The 17,059-nt window shown below is 40.8% G+C and overlaps 2 annotated features.

The window, feature by feature from the left end:
• Positions 519–1,020: an enhancer, noted in NCBI's record as "H3K27ac hESC enhancer chr11:121260007-121260508 (GRCh37/hg19 assembly coordinates)". NCBI's record gives its function as "activates a minimal SCP1, AML or CMV promoter by ChIP-STARR-seq in primed H9 embryonic stem cells {active_cell/tissue: H9 hESC(primed)}" and the evidence as "EXISTENCE:reporter gene assay evidence [ECO:0000049][PMID:30033119]".
• Positions 1,021–1,520: an enhancer, noted in NCBI's record as "H3K27ac hESC enhancer chr11:121260509-121261008 (GRCh37/hg19 assembly coordinates)". NCBI's record gives its function as "activates a minimal SCP1, AML or CMV promoter by ChIP-STARR-seq in primed H9 embryonic stem cells {active_cell/tissue: H9 hESC(primed)}" and the evidence as "EXISTENCE:reporter gene assay evidence [ECO:0000049][PMID:30033119]".

Genomic DNA, 17,059 nt, shown 5'->3' on the forward strand with positions numbered 1-17,059 from the left:
CAGAGTATATGAACCTTTTAATGGTAACTTTTGTAGAAAGTGAGTTCACCTGCAGAAGGTATATGCTTGTAGCAATTATACTTCTAGACTACCAACTAATATAGCTATTTTTCTTGGCAACATGTCTTATTACCCTAATTAGATTGTAATCAAGGAGTCTGTTTCCTTGATTCATTACTCTTGAACACCTAATGGCAGAAAGAAAATGCCGAGATGACAGAGACAGAATCTTTTCCTTTAGGAGCCTCAATCTGGTAAAAGGAGAGGAGAACTGTAACTCAGAGCTCTCAGCCTTGCTCTACTTCTTGCCAAGGAGTATCTTGGACAAGTTTCTCAATGTCACTGAGCCTCATTTTTCTCATCTATAAAATAGGGATAACACCCCGGTTGCAGGTTCCCTGTGAGGATTAGAGATAACGTGTAAAAAGTACTCGGCATGGCTCCTGGGAGGGCCAGCACTCCACAAGGGGTAGCTGTAATGGTAAATAATCATAAACATACTTTGATAGCGCAGGAGAGAAAGAGGTTACATTTAGTTGAGGGAATCAAAACAGGTCCTGTGAAAGAGCTAGACTAGCAATGGCAGTTTAGCATCAGACAGGCAGAAATTGTAGAGAAAGAGTTTTGTAAGCGAAGGAAATTAAATAAGTAAACACATTCTCAGAGATGAGATCGCATAAGGGCATATTTGGAAACTAAAAACTCATCTGATTTTCTTCCTCTGATTTGTGAATTTATTGATAGGAATGCTCTTTTCCAAGGTAAAACAATTTGATCACTGAAAAAATATTTATGCATTTTATGCATTTAACAAGTCGTCCTTGCTGTAAAGATTAAAATGGCAGGAAATAAGATCTCCCAGCAAATCTGGGCCGTATGTTGCTTCCCATTGTGGTTGTACATGCAGAGTCAGCCATTGTGTTGGCTGCCTGCTGCCCAGACAGCGGGGTGAGCTCAGGACAGAGCCCTGCTTCAGCATGAATGCCTCTGCCTTCTCTTGCGAACACATTCCCTCCGCCACTTAAGAATGCACAGAGCATTTGCCAGGTCGGGAATGCCTGGGTATGACAGCACCATTTGCAAAGTAAAGAGTCTATTTATGAAGATAATGGCAATATCCAGGCCAAGCCCACCGTGGGAGAACCTTGGCTCCTAATTAGCAAGAGCAGTGCATTTTAATGAGGACGCCTCGGCAGGCAGTTGGCTCCTGCCTTGACTGCCAACAAATCTGGGGCAGAGGGAGTATTGGCAGAGAGAACACAGAGCAGGTGAGGAGAACAAAACAAAGAAATATGCTCATCTCTTGGAAACCGTAAGCCTTAGAATTATTCGATTTTCTCATTATCCTGGCTGTCATCCCATAAGCTGTTTCTCTGAGAACAAATACTCTTAGAAGTGGTGGGTCTTGGGTGAGCTAAGGTGAGCCGACGCATCAGTTTTAGCAATCCTGAAACTATTGCTAGTATGGACAGCAGAGGCCTAAAGGGCATGGAGGCTTGGAAACGGAGGCATTTGAACTCTCTAGGAAGGCAATTAGACAATTGCTAAGAGGCCTGTAGAGAAATCAGAATCCCTTGCATTTTTCTGGATGGGGAAGAAAGAACAGCAGTGGCTCCCACTTCCATCAATCCTGTAGAGGTGAGGTGATACCATCAAAGGTAATTTAAGCTAGAACTTCAAAATCTGTTGCTGGATGCTGATGGGTGACATAAAGAAAGCAGAACTCCTCAGCATCTATGTAGTTTCTGAATTCTGTCTCAGAAGATGATCTTTTGACTGAAAATGATGAATAACCATTCACAGGTGGGAATAGATGTTCCAAGATGCATGAGTGAACTGTGAAACACCTTAATCCTTTAATGGCTTCAAGTTTTGAGTCCATGCAAATTACACCTCCAAATACCAAGATAATGTGTAAGTAAGATGGTTGGACTCCAGTTGGTTATCTCTGATGCATCAGGAACATTAAAAGAAGTACTGGAGGCCAGGCGCAGTGGCTCACACTTGTAATCCCAGCACTTTGGGAGGCCAGGGCGGGCGGATCACCTGAGGTCTGGAGTTCGAGACCAGCCTGACCAACATGGAGAAACCCCGTCTCTACTAAAAATACAAAATTAGCTGGGCGTGGTGGCACATGCCTGTAATCCCAGCTACTCCAGAGGCTGAGGCAGGAGAATGGCTTGAACCCAGGAGGTGGAGGTTGCTGTGAGCCGAGATTGCGCCATTGCACTCCAGCCTGGGCAACAAGAGCAAAACTCCATCTTAAAAAAAAAAAAAAAAGAAGTACTGGAAAATAATTATTTCAGAAATAGAGAAGATTCCTGGAGCTACAGACCTGTTTTTTTTGTTTTTTGTTTTTTTGTTTTGTTTTTTGGCAATGCACCCAAGCAAGATAAACCATGGGATGTGGTGTTGTTGTTGTTGTTGTTTCTGAGACAGAGTCTCGCTCTGTCGCCCAGGCTGGAGTGCAGTGGCGTGATCTGAGCTCACTGCTGCCTCTGTCTCCCGGGTTCAAGCAATTCTCCTGCCTCAGCCTCCTGAGTAGCTAGGATTACAGGCGTGCACCACCTGCCCGGCTAATTTTTGTATTTTCAGTAGAGAAGGGGTTTCACCATGTTGGCCAGGCTGGTCTTGAACTCCTGACCTCGTGATCTGTCTGCCTCGGCCTCCCAAAGTGCTGGTGTTGTGAGCCACCGTGCCCGGCCCATGGGATTTTTAAAAAGAATGTGTGAGCCACTTAAAGTGAAAGAGGTGATCTTCAGGAATAGGCACGAGATCACCACACACACACAAAGAGTCATGGTAGAGACTGCTAATTATCCCTCAGTATCTGTTCTCTGTCTTTTCCATAGTAACAGAAATTTTAGCAGAACAAACAGAGAATGCAAAGGGGCCACCCGCATTCTTTGGCTTGTGGCCACTCCTTCCATCTTCAAAGTCGGCAACATAGCATCTTCAGATGGCTTTTGCTCTCTCCCCTCCGCTTCCATCCTCTGTCTTCTCTCACCTGAATCTCTCGCCTCCCTCTTAGAAGGATGCTCCTGATTACATTGAGTCCATCAAGACAATCCAGGGTAACCTCCTCATCTGAAAATATTTAATATAATTGCATCTACAAAGTCCCTTTTCCATGTAAAGTAACATATTTGCAGCTTCCAGGGTTTAGGACACGAGCATTTGGGGGTGGGGGGCGCTTTTCAGCCTACTTCGGCTATCAAGATAAAAACTCAATTTCCCAGCCTCACTTGCAGCTGCGTTTAGAACACATGACCAAGCCCTGGCAATGGATATGAGCCAAAGGGAAGTGTTGTCCTTCTAAGTCTTGCTCTTCGAGGAAAGTACCTGCTATTTGCTGAAACATGAATGAGTGAGCCCTTTGGACTTGGCAGATGAGGCCAGTACCTGGGTGTGGCCCAGCCACAAGGGCCTACGCCCCTGCAGATTTCTTGGAGCAAGGCCACCATAGCAGCTTGGACTTTTACATGATAAAAAGACAAACTTCTGTCTTGTTTAAGATACGTAGACAGAATTATATCCTGCTTAATACATTACTCAGGGAAGACCAGGGAACTGTAATTGACAGAATGTTTTGGGACTTCAACAGTGTTTATTAAAATCTCTTATAGGTATCCTTGTGCTCAAGATAGAGAAAGATGAGTTAAAGCCAAGAATAATTAGGTGGGTTTATAACTGCTTGAGTGACCATAAGGGTGCAGAGTAATGTGTTGGTTTTAATCTCTACAGAGAGGTTTTAATATTATGGCCCTGTTATAATCCATGCTCCGGACAGGTCAAATCACAGCTGAAATACTTAATTTTCTTCCAAGGGCCTCATCTGAAGAAGGCTACAGACATAGATGAGCATGCCAGGGATAGCAATGAAATGATGAGGGGACTGGAAAACATGTCATATAAAGACATGTCAATATAGATACGAGAAGGAATTCAGATATTTAGAAAGCATTTATTAGGTGTAAGTTACAATGCTATGTGAGAAAGGGTAGAATACATGAGGACGCATTTCCTTGCCCTCCTAAGAGATAAGGAGCATTTATATAAATGTATGTGGATATATACAAGGTAACTCACCAGACTTAGCTTGCAGTCGTTTATTAAGGATCTATCTGTGGACCAGGCATGGTGGAGCATGCCTGTTGTTCCAGCTACACGGGAGGATTGTTCCAGCCCAGGAGTTCGAGGCCAGCCTGGGCAACATAGCGAGATGCCCTATCTCTTAAAAAAAAAAAAAAAAAAGGAATCTGTTTGTGGGGGTTTTCTTGTTTTGTTTCTATTTTGTTTATGTTGTGTTTCTCTAGAAAAAAAGTCCCTTTGTCCATCCCTAGGGGATGATGACAATTCAGAAAGATTGGAAACATTGTTTTACTCTGGCAAGAGATCTGATTGAGTTTCTAGGAATTGTGGGGGCTAACAAGTATTAGGGTGTTGCCAAGGATTTACAAACTTTCTAGCCCACCATCAACCATCAAGCTCATTTAGAGATCCATCAAGCCCTTTTATGGCTAAAAAAACAAAGAAACAAAAAAAAGTTAATGAGAAGAATAAGGGCTTTTGAGAGTGCGGCCAAAAAAGGGAATGGGTAGGAAACCAAGAAGCAGATAGGAAAAAAGGACCCTGAGTCTGAGGGTGTCTATTCCTGAGAGCTGGACTCTGGTTGAACCATGGCTCTGTAAGTGCCAGGGGCAGCAGACCCCAAGAAGAAGCATGGTGTGGGGGTGATACATGAGTGTGCTGTGCCTGTCCAGAAACTGTGGGTTCCAGCACCTAGGGCTTTAGAGCCATTCACCAGGCACGAGTGGGCTGCTGGCCCTGTCTGTGCTTCAAGCACTCATCTCCAGACACTCTGGCCACAATTCCCCAGGACCTTCTTGCACACTTGTGGGCCACCATAACTGTGCTTGGTGCTGGCGTAGGATGTGCGCGTGTACTCTGAGCTAGGGATAAAAGGGAGTAAGTATCCCCCTTACCCAAATGATTATAGCTCAGGATAACTTGGGCTTCCCAGCTGCATGGGCATTTGCACTGGCCTTGAAAGCTGCCGCAATTTAGATAAGCATGAGATCTCCACACACACACACACAAAAAACTTGAACAAGTTTTCCTTTATGTTCAAGTTTCCCTTTATGGTTTCTTCTCCCCTTATGTCTGGTTTCTTTTTCTTTCCATGTCCAATTCTCAGGAAAGTTCAAAACAGTTTCCATTTCATGCAGTGGTTAAACAGCAACTTCCTTTGTCCTGCAGTCCTTCCTGTGTCCCCTCTGATCCTGACCGCAAAACCACCTGCATTTCTCTCCCTGCCTGAGAAGTCCTTGGTCTTTTGCCTGCCTCCTGGCTATTGTTTCTCCCTTCCATGGTGGGGCAGGGCGGCAGCCTGCATGAAAGATGGGTACAAACAATGCTGTACACCAATCTGGTTTCAAATAAATACCACTTCGAGACCATCGAAAAGTAGTTCACAGGTAGGAAGACTTCTTGGTTCCCAGCTCATGGAGGTGTTCGCTTGTTTACTTGATAGAACTCTGGGGACAGATGACAAAATGGAACATGATCTCTGATTGGCAATGGCTACTCAGAGGCCCCTGTCAGAAATCTGGGCTAAGTTTGCAAGTTGTAGAGGAGCGAGAGTGCACCAAGAGTTAGAAAAATTATCACTCCTTCAATAAAAAAAAAAAAAAGCTCAAATGTTCTTGATGACATCTTTCCTGTCTACAAGTTTTATACTGAATCCTGCTGGTGTTCCACATACACAACTTAATATCTCCCATTGATTGGCTGCTTGCTGTGTTTCAAAGCTTTACATACAACACATGAGGTGGACAGAATCTCTGTTTCACAGAAGGGGAAACTGCAGCTCAGAGCCCTTCAGTAATCTGTGCAGTGTCATTTGGGTTAAGGTGGGAGGCTGGGATTTGAACCCAGATTTGTCTGGTTTCAAAGCGTGTGTTCTTTCCTCAATACTTCGCTAGTAACGTGGTAACAGCAGCAAAAAGAACGTGATCTAAAAAGGAGTTACTTCGAATTTTCCACATTATCCAATGCATTATTGTCCGTATAACCATTTTGCCCCCTTTCACCACTCCATACTGGAATGCTTGGGAGAGCTTTTACCCCAGGCAGCTGGTCCTGGCCCATTTACATGCACACCTAGACAGCTGCAGAGATCCCAAGGGCACACATGTAACTTCCTGTGTCTGGTACTTTGTGCAAAACCCTACCCCTCCCACACAAACTCTGGTAACCTTGGTTTGACAAAGGAGAGTCCATTTAGGGGACAATTGTCAGTGTTCTTCTGAAGAATTGCTCTCCTCCTTAGGGGCAGGAGGGCAAGTACAGATTGCTGTGAACACCTCAATCTTTTCCTGGCCACGTGGAGTATTTGTATACCCAGCACAGGGCAACAAAGGAGTGAAGAGTCCCAGGTCTCATGTAAACTCCTATGTTCTTTTTCTCAAAATGGAGAATTGGGCTTACCATTCAATCCACTGTCTTGTACGCATGACAGAAACCAAGTACATATTTGCGGAATGAGGGAATATTAACTAGGCACCCACAGCACGTGGTGTAAGAGAGCATTCAGGCTGTCTTACAACCTGAGCCAAAATCCAAAGCACCAAAATAGGATGGGTAGCTAAAAAATTGGATCATTGAGGGAGCTGGTTACTTTGTAGCATCATTACAATACTGATGTAATTCTAACCTTCCTTGCTGCAATGGTTCACTTGGGTGCCAAATAAAGAGTCTGTATTGGGTGATTATTAAGGATTCTTTCGCCTGAATTTTATAATAAGTGGAGAAATAAATAGCGTAAATAAAAAGTGTAAATAAGAAAATAGAAATAAAAAGTGTAAATAAAAAATAGGAATAAAAGGTGTAAATAAGTGTAGAAATAAATGCCAATTTTTTAGGAGAAGTAAATGACAAATTTTCTCACCAAGGAAAGTTTTTATTTCCCCCTGAACTAAAGCAGTTTAGGGAATTCGATCTGAACTTCTCATTTGAATTCCTGAATTTTTTTTAAGGCAAACTAGAATAAATATGATTTTAAAACCAAGAAGAAAAATTAAGTCATTTCACAAAATTAGAGCCTTATCATGAGTGACAGATTAATAATGAAACTTCCAAGAGTGCTGAATAAATTGCATTAACTTTGTCACTTCATAACAATAGGACACCAAAGGGGTGATTAAATTTATCTCCCTGACACAAGCGATAACTCCATACCAAAGGTAGTGTTAAATTGTATAGAAAATGGCTTCCTCCCCCTTCCTGTATTAAGATGTTAGGTAATGACACATAAAAGTGATTAATAGATTCCTAAACTGGGGCTTATTGAGCAGCTCAAACTAAACTGAATTTCTTTTTTAAATTAATGTTTATTTTTACAAAGTAATAAATGCACATAGCAAAAAGAGAAAAAAAAGTGAAATGGTAGCAAAAGGACAGACGGAAAATCAGCTGTCCCCTGCCTGCATGCCTTCTGTCCCCAGCCCACTCCCCAGACCTCTTACTTTCCATTTTTAAGCTATTTCTTCTGGTGTTTATTTCTGTACTTGTAAATAATTTGCTTATACAAATTATATCTTGGTGCATCAATTTTAGATATCTATTCGTCTTTCTATTTTGGAAGATGAGAATTTCATGCTCTTATCTCATTTCATCTTTCATTATTATTCATCTCAGCTTTTGCTAATTTGTACTCAGTACTTTACTATTATAGCTGTATAAATGACATTCATTACTATTCATTAATAGTAGTATACTAGTGGTACACTATCAGTGAATTAAGAGTAGGATACTTTTAATTAAGTAGTATAGCTAATAGTATTAGCAGTAGTAGTATTAAGTAGGATACTCTTAAGGAAACTAAAAAGAGTAGTACACTATTATTGTTTCCTTTGTTGTATAACTTTTTGTCTTTCCTAGAGTTGATCATTATTTTGGTTCTTTAAAATGTTCTTACTTCTTTAAATATATGCTCTAAGTTATAGGTAATAGATTAGGTCATAAAACCCTATTGACATCCTAGAACCTTAAGTTAAAAGTAGTAAGGTAAAAAGTAATACACCTGGACACAGTGGTGCACGCCTGTAGTCCCCGGTACTCAAAGAGGTGGAGATGAGAAGATTGCTTGAACCCAATTGTATGAGACTGACCTGGGCAACATTAGTAAAACCCCATCTCCTAAAAAGTAGTAGGGATAACTGTGCACATGCTGCCTTTAACCTTATAAAATGAATTGCATAAATACCAGCTGGAGTCCTAACTTGAACTAGGTGTGAGAGAGAGAGCTGTTCTTTCACTGATCTCAAACTCCACATGGGTGAATAGTATAATTCAAGCATTAACACAGAATCTTAGGTTACATTAATTTAGGAACTCTCTCTGGAACAGAAAAGATGATAGTCCTATTTTACTCATGTTGCCTAATGCACCATATTCTGGTTCCACGTTTTAAGAAAGGCAGAACAAATCAGAGTTTAAAGAATACATCAGGCCGGGTGCAGTGAATCACATCTGTAATCCCAGCACTTTGGGAGGCCGAGACAGGAGGATTGCTTGAGATCAGGAGTTCAAGACCAGCCTAGGCAACATGGCAAGACCCCATCTCTACAAAAAATACAAAAATTAGCTGGACATGGTGGTGTGTGTGCCTGTAGTCCCAACTACTCAGGAAGCTGAGGTGGGAGGATGGCCTCAGCTTGGGAGGCAGAGGCTGCAGTTAGCCGAGATCGCGCCACTGCATGCCAGCTTGGGCAAGAGAGTGACAGCCAGTTTCAAAAAATAAAAATAAAAGACAATAACAAAAATAAAAATAAAATTTTAAAAATATATCAGCCTTTAATCCCAGCAATTTGGGAGGCCGAGGTGGGTAGATCACGGGGTCAGGAGATTGAGACCATCCTGGCTAACATGGTGAAACCCCTGTCTCTACGAAAAATACAAAAAAAGAAAAAAAAAATAGCCAGGTGTGGTGGCATGTGCCTGTAATCCCAGCTACTCAGGAGGCTGAGGCAGGAGAATTGCTTGAACCTGGGAGGCAGAGGGTGCAGTGAGCTGAGATTGCGCCATTGCACTCCAGCCTCGGCAATAAAGCAAGACTCCATCTCAAAAAATAAATAAATAAAAAAAAATAAAATATATCAGCCTGGATCATGAGAGTCTGAAAAACATGTCATATGATAAGTAATTGAAGGAAATTGAAATGTCTAGCCTGGAAAAGTCTTAGGGGGAACTTAAAATTGTCTTCAAATATTTCAAGGGCTATCATGTAGAAATTGAAGTAGATTTATGCTGTTTGAAAGTGCTGGTGTAGGGTCAATCACTGAGTGTCAGGGAGGCAGACAGTTCTTTGAATACAGAACTTTCTAACAACTGGATCCATAACAGTTGTGGTCGACACTGCTCTTATCTCTCCAGTGTCCATTCTCCCATTGATTTTTGGTAGTAGAAGTTTAAGCTGGGCCCCTGGCTGTCCAACTAAAGATTATATTTTCTACTTCTCCTTACTATGGTCATGAAATTAGGTTCAGGTCAATGAGATAAACGCAGCAACGATGTATGCCACCTCTTGCTCAAACAAGAGGGATCAGTCAAAATCTAAGAGGGGTCTTTCCTTAAAAGGATTGGGGTGTGCCCTCTTCCTCTCCCTTGACTCTGGCCTTGAATGTTGTCATGATGGATCTTCTCTGATCATGTAGACAAACCAAGAATAAAGTAGAAGGAGCTTGAGTTCCCAATACAATGGACCCATCTTCTCTTCTCAGCCTTGGAAACATTGCACTAAGTAAGAGAGCATTTCTACCTAGTTGAACTTTCTACCAGGTTAAAATTCCCATCTTGTTAAGTCATGTTTGGATCTTTGTTAGACCTGTTTTCATCTAAGTATTAAATAATACAGACACCTCCAAATAGTGGTCTTCAGGAGCCCTCCCTGTCCCTTATGTTCAATCACTTGCTGCCTTAATGCTTCTCACCTGGCTACCTCTCTCCATTCTCACTGCCCCTACCTTGGCTCAGGCTGCCACGCTTTCTTGCCTGGATTGTTGGAGAAACTTTCTAAGTGGTACTCTGCCTACAGTCTTGTCACACATTCTCTCCATCTCATCTACCACTTCCAAAATAATATTTTATAAACCCAAATCTTATCATGTGCCATCTCTTCTTAAAATCTTTCCATTACTTCCCACTACATTTAAGGTAATGAGTAAATTTCTTAAGATGGTGATGGTGTGGTAGACAAAATGATGCCCTCCCCACTAACGATGTCCACATCCTAATTCCCAGGACCTGAAAATATGTGACCTTACTTGACAAAAGAGATCTTGCAAATGTTGACTAAATTAAGGATCTAGAGATGGAAAGATTATCCTGGATCATCCTGGTGGGCTCAATGTGATCACAAGGGTCCTTCATAAGAGGGGAGCAAGAGGGTGGGAGTTGAAAAAAGAGATAAAGCAGAGTTTGGGTTTATGGGCTTTAAAGATGGAGAAGAGTGACTCAAGCCAAGGAATGCAGACAGCCTCTGAAACTTGAAAGAGGTAAGGAAAGGGCTTTTCCTCTGGAGCCTCTAGAAGGAACGTGGTCTTGCCAACATCTTCATTTTAGCCTCCTACGTCTCATTTTCAGCCTTTAACCTTCAGGACAATAAGATAACAAATTGGTGTTATTTTAAGCCACTAAATTTGTGGTACTTTGTGACAGCAGCAATAGGAAACAAATATAGCTGGCTTTCATCATCTTGCCTTTGTTCATTTCTCTTGCCCCATCTCTCATCAATTCCTTGCTTCCACACTCTACTTTCCAGCCCTTTTCAATGATGTGTAGTTCCCAGCAAGCAGGGACCTTTGTTTATACTTTTTCTCTCTGAAAATTTTTCTTGTTCCCTTGCCTCCTTTGCTTTGACTAATTTTTAAGCCAAGGCTTTTATCTGAGTTCCTCCAAGATGCCTTCACTGAGCACTTAGTGGGTTTCGTGCCCTTCCCTTGGACAGACTCCCTTGGCACTTGTACATGTCGCTATCACAGCACCTAGCTCACTGGATTCCTGAATTGCTTTGTTTACAGTTATTTCAGAGCCTAGCTATCTATGCCAATGAATATAGAATGATCATTCACTGGAAGTAGTCAAGAAGAGGTTAAGATACCTAGTAGAGATACTATAAAATGGGCTTCTATAGTGGTTGGGGAAATACGCCTTCCCATTTGAAATGCTTTATATGGAACACTACGGCTATAGTTTGGATGTTTGTCCCCTCCAACTCTCATGTTGAAATCTGACCCCTATTGTTGGAGGTGGGGCCTAATGGGAGGTGTTTTGGTCATGGGGATGGACCTCTCATGAATAGATTAATGCCCACCCTTCCCAGGCAGGGGCAAGAGGTGGGAGGGGGTGAGTGAGTTCTCATTCTGTTAGTTCCGCAGAGAACTGATTGTTGACAAATGTCTGGAACCTTTCCCCTCTCTCTCTTGCTTCCTCTTGCTCTATGAGTGGAAGCAGCCTGAGACCCTCACCAGAAGCTGAGGAGATGCTGGCATCATGCCTTTTGTGTAGCCTGCAGAACCGTGAGCCAAATAAACCTCTTTTCTTTATAAATTACCCAGTCTCAGGTATTCCTTTATAGCAACACAAATGGACTAAGACAACCACCCATTCCTTCCTCACAGCCATTGTGGCCTAGTCAACTCCTACTCATCCTCCAAGTGTTAAACATATAACATCTTTATTGAGACATAATTCACATGCCATCATAACACCCATTTAAATAGTGCAACTACATGGTTTTACTACATTCATAGAGTGGTGCAACCATCATCACAATAAATTTTAGAACATTTTTATCACTTCCAAAAGAAATCCTGTACCTATTAGCAGTCATTTCTCATATTTTCCCAAGTGCCCCGGCCCCATAAAACCACTAACCTCCTTTCTGTCTCTATAGATTTTTCTATACTGGACATTTCATATAAATGGAATCAGCCTGGTGCAGTGGCTCATGCCTGTAATCCCAGCACTTTGGGAGGTTGAGGGAGGAGGATTATTGAGCCCAGGAGTTCAAGGCCAGCCTGGGAAAGATGGCAAAACCCCCCTTTCTATGAAAAATTTAAAAATTAGCTGGGCTAGATGGCATGCATCTATAGTCCCAGCTACTGAGGAGGCTGAGGCAGAAAGATTGCTTGAGTTCAGGAATTTGAGGCAGCAATGAGCTATGATTGTGCCACTGCACTCCAGTCTGGGCAACAAAGCAAGACCCCAGCTCTAAAATAAAATGAAAATAAATGAAATCATATAATCTATGGTCTTTTGTGACTGGCTGCTTTCATTTAGCATAATGTGTTCAAGTTAGTGTGTATTAGTACTTCATTCCATTTTATGGCTGCATAATATTCCATTGTATGCCAGATTTTTAAATCCATTTATTAGCTGATAGACATTAAGGTTGTTTGCACTTTTTGACTCTTATGAATAATGCTGCTATAAGCATTTGTATACATATTTTTGTGTGGGTATATGTTTTCATACCTCTTGAGTATATGCCAAGGAATAGGATTGCTGGGTCATATGGTGACTGTAGGTTTAACATTTTGTGGAATGTCCAGACTGTTTTCCAAACTTACTGCATCATTTTACCTTCCCACCGACAGGTCCCATTTCTCCACAACAAAGTGTTCCCATTTCTCCACAACCTCATCAACACTTATTATTATCAGTCAATTTTATTTCAGCCATTCTAGCAGGTATGAAGTGGTATCTCATTGTGTGTGTTTTTTTCTATAATTCCCTGATGGGTAATGAATATCTTTTCATGTGCTTATATGTCATTTGTATATCCTTTTGTGGAGCAATAACTGTGCAGATCCTTTGCCCATTTTGTAATCATGTTATTAATCTTTTTATTATTGATATGTATGATTTTAAAAATATATTCTACATACAAGTCCCTTATCAGATATGCCATTTGCAAGTGTTCCACTTATTTTGTGGGTTGCTTTTCACTTAGTTGATGCTATCCTTTGAAAAAGTTTTTCATTTTGAGGAAGTCCAATTTATCAATTTTTTTTTTCTTCAGTTGCTTGTGCTTTTGGTGTCATGTCTAAAAAAGACTTTGCCCAATCCAAGGCATAAAATTTATGCCTATATTTTCTTCTAAGAGATTTATAGTCTTATCTATTATGATTAAGTATATAATCCCTTTTCAGTTAACTTTTGTGTATGATGTGAGGAAGGGTGCCAACTTCATTCTTTTTTTTTTCTATTTTTATTTCAATCATTTTTGGGGGCACAGGTGGCTTTTTGTTACATGGACGAATTCTTCAGTGGTGATTTCTGAGATTCTAGTTGCACCCAGCACTTAAGCAGTGTACACTGTATCCAGTATGTAGTCTTTTACCCCTTATCCCCCTCCCAACCACAGTTCCTTTCCCAGAATCCCCAAAGTCCATTATATCATTCTTACACCTTTTCTTCCTTGTAGCTACAACTTCATTCTTTTACATGTGGATATATAGTTGTCTTAGCACCATTTGTTGAAAAGATTATTCTTCCCTAATTGAACTCTCACTTCTGTTCCATTGAACCATATGACTACCCTTAACCTTATTTCAGCACCACACCGTTTTGATTATTGTAGCTTTGTAGTAAGTTTTGAAATTGGAAAGTGTGAGTCACCAACTTTGTTCTTTCTAAAGACCATATTGGCTATTCTTACTCCCTTCCATTTCCACATGAATTTTAGGTTCAGCTTGTCAATTTCTGCAAATAAGCCAGCTGGGATTATGATAGGGAATTGTGTTGAATCTGTAGATCAATTAGGGGAATGTTTTCATCTTAATAAGATTAAGTCTTTCAATTCATAAAATAGAATGTTTTTTCATTTATTAAGGTCTTTAATTCTTCAATGATATTTTGTAATTTCAGTATACAAGTCTTCCATTTCTTTCGCTTATTTTTTGTCTGTTTTAAAATCTGAGAAAGGAGATCTAGTATGTATTCATGGAATTTCTCATATTAACCTTGTTTCCAATTTCTGGTTCTCTTTATTTGTTCCTGCAAATCTGGATATCATCTGCTGTCATTTCCTCACTCCAATAAAGCTTTGCACCCACCTACCTCCTTTATGTTGTTATTGTCAAATATATTACATTTCTATAAGCTATAAGCCCAACAAGACAATTACATACATATCACTTTGTACAATTGCTTTTTAAATCAGTTAAGAGCAGAAAGAAGACAGAGATAGTTATACTGTCTTTTAAAGTTACATATCTTTACTCTTGCACTTGTGTGTGTGTATGTTGACTTGCATTACATTTCGGGGTCACTTGCTTTCATCCTAAAGAAGTTCAATTACTATTTCTTGAATCCAAAGGGCAAGGAAACCTGGAAAAAATAAGTGATTTCCTGCAATAGTGAATAGCAAAAAGAAAAATGGAGAAATGGTGTGAAATCAAACAGGCCAATGACCAGTCACTCACTCAATAGTGTTTGTATGGTTACTTTAGAAATTTGAGTAGGCCTGATTTACTGATTTATTGAATTTCTACTACTTTCCAGACTTGGGTCTTGGTGTTTTTCAAAGGTAAATTTATTTAGCCTTTACAGGATGATACTATTATATAACGCTTAAGAGCTTGGGATCTTCAGACAGACAGAGATGTATGCAAGCCCAAGAATTTCAACTACAGAATCTGTGATCTTGGGAAAATTACTTAACATCTCTAAGTCTCATTTACCCATAGGTAATAGGAAGATAAATATAGTGTATGTCTTAAAGGGTTATATGACAGTTATATGAGAAAAATTCATGTGAAATATTGTCTCTTACACAAATGCTCAGTAAATGGCAGGCATAAAAAAATTCATAATATTGGACTTCTGACTTTGACCATGATGAGGTAACTGATAATAAACTTATGCTTAATTTATAATTACAAAACTGAACAAAATATATGAAGCAACACTTTTCATGCTTCAGACAACAAATACAGGAGGGATTTGATCCTTTAGAGAATAAAAACACATGAGGTTGGCTCTGCATTTACCACAGCTTTCCACCGGCGAGTGATTCCCAAACTAAGGCACAAGAAAGAGAAAAGAAAGATGCAGGAAACTGAGATGGAAGGTTGGGGCCACTAAGGTGGCTAGGCTTTTCAGGGCACAGCCCTGGAGGGTAGCAAGCCATGCAGAGAAGGAGCTCCAGAAATTGGCCTAGGGAGCTTGAGTCTTTGATGAAAATACCAAATTAGAAATGTACAATGCAAAACTGATATAGACCTAACAGAAAATAGCCAAGGGTGGATCAGTAAGATCCTCAGAGATTCTGGAGATCACACAGTGTTGGGAGACATTGAAATTACAGCCAGCTGGAGTCAGAGAGCTTGTTGAACATCCTTGGCATTCACTTGCAATCATACGAAAGCCACACCTACAGAGTGAGACTTTAGTAACTTATAGTAATTTAGTAGTCCTTACCTTAGGGCAAGATTTAATAATCTTGATGTCATAATTTCGATTAGTAATAGTAATAATAAAAATGAATCTTGCCCTAAGGTACGGACTACCCTAGACTCATTCTAAGAAAACCTAAAAGTAAGTCTCAACAAGACAAGGTGACTTCAACAGATGAATACCTGGCAGTACAGATTTCAAGCATATTTACAACATGGGAGCAAAATCTAACTTCTAAAAAATGTAGCATTCACAGTGCCCAACAGACCATCAAAAGTTGCTAGATATATGAAAAGAAGAAAAACACAACTCGTAGTTGTGAGGGGGGAAAACGTTTATAGAAACAGACTCAGACATTGGAATTAGCAAAGACTTTAAAAGTTATTATGAATATTTAGACATTGTAGATGAAAAAAATAAATATAATGAGTATGATAGACCACAATATGGTTTCTCAAAAGATATGTGCTTTCTAATCCTGAAACCTGTGAATGTTACCTTACATGGCAAAGCCTTTGTGGATTTGATTAAGGGTCTTGAGAAGGGGAGATGATCTTGGACTGAGTGGGCCCCAAATGCAGTCAGATGTATCCTTAAGAGAGGCAGGTTACATGCACACAAGGCCACATGAAGACAGAGCAGACAGAGATTTAAAGATGCTGGCCTTGGCTGGGTGTGGTAGCTCATGCCTGTAATCCTAGCATTTTGGAAGGCTAAGGTGGGCAGATCGCTTGGGCTCAGGAGTTGAAGACCAGCCTGGGCAACATAGCAAAACTCTGTTTCTCCAATAAATAAAAAAATTAGGTTGGGTGTGGTGGCTCAAGCCTGTAATCTCGGCACTTTGGGAGGCTGAGGAGGGTGGATCACTTGAGGTCAGGAGTTCACGACCAGCCTGGCCAACATGGTGAAACCCCGTCTATACTAAAAATACAAAAATTAGCCAGGCATGATGGCAGGTGCCTGTAATCCCAGCTACTTGGGAGGCTGTGGCATGAAAATCGCTTGAACCCGGGAGGCGGAGGTTGCAGTGAGCTGAGATTGCACCACTGCACTCCAGCCTGGGTGATACAGACAGACTCAGCCTAAAAAAATATTAGCCAGGCACAGTGGTGGGCATCTGTATTCTCAGCTATTCGTGAGGCTGAGGCAGGAGGATCACTTGAACTTGGGAGGTTGAGGCTGCAGTGAGCCAAGATTACACCACTGGACTCCAACTTGGGTGACAAAGTGAGACCCTGTCTCAAAAAAATGAAATAAAGTAACGATGCTGGCCTTTGAGATTGGAGTGATGCAGCCACAAGCCAAGAAATTCTGGCAGGCATCAGAAGCTAAAAGAGGCATGGAACAGATTCTCCCATAGAGCCTCTGAAGGACACATAACCCTGCTGACACCTTGATTTCAGCCCAGTGATACTGATTTCAAACATCCAATATCCAGAACAGGGAAAGAACAATTTTCTGTTGTTTTTAGCCTCCCAATTTGTGTTGTAGCAGCTTCAGGAGACGAATACAAAAAGAAAACAAAAGGGAAGCTCAGATTTTAAAACAGACAAAAAAATAATACAAAAGGGGAACAAAAAGAGAAATGAGAACAATT

Source organism: Homo sapiens, chromosome 11 (assembly GCF_000001405.40).
Source record: "Homo sapiens chromosome 11, GRCh38.p14 Primary Assembly".
NCBI classification, from domain to species: Eukaryota; Metazoa; Chordata; class Mammalia; order Primates; family Hominidae; genus Homo; species Homo sapiens.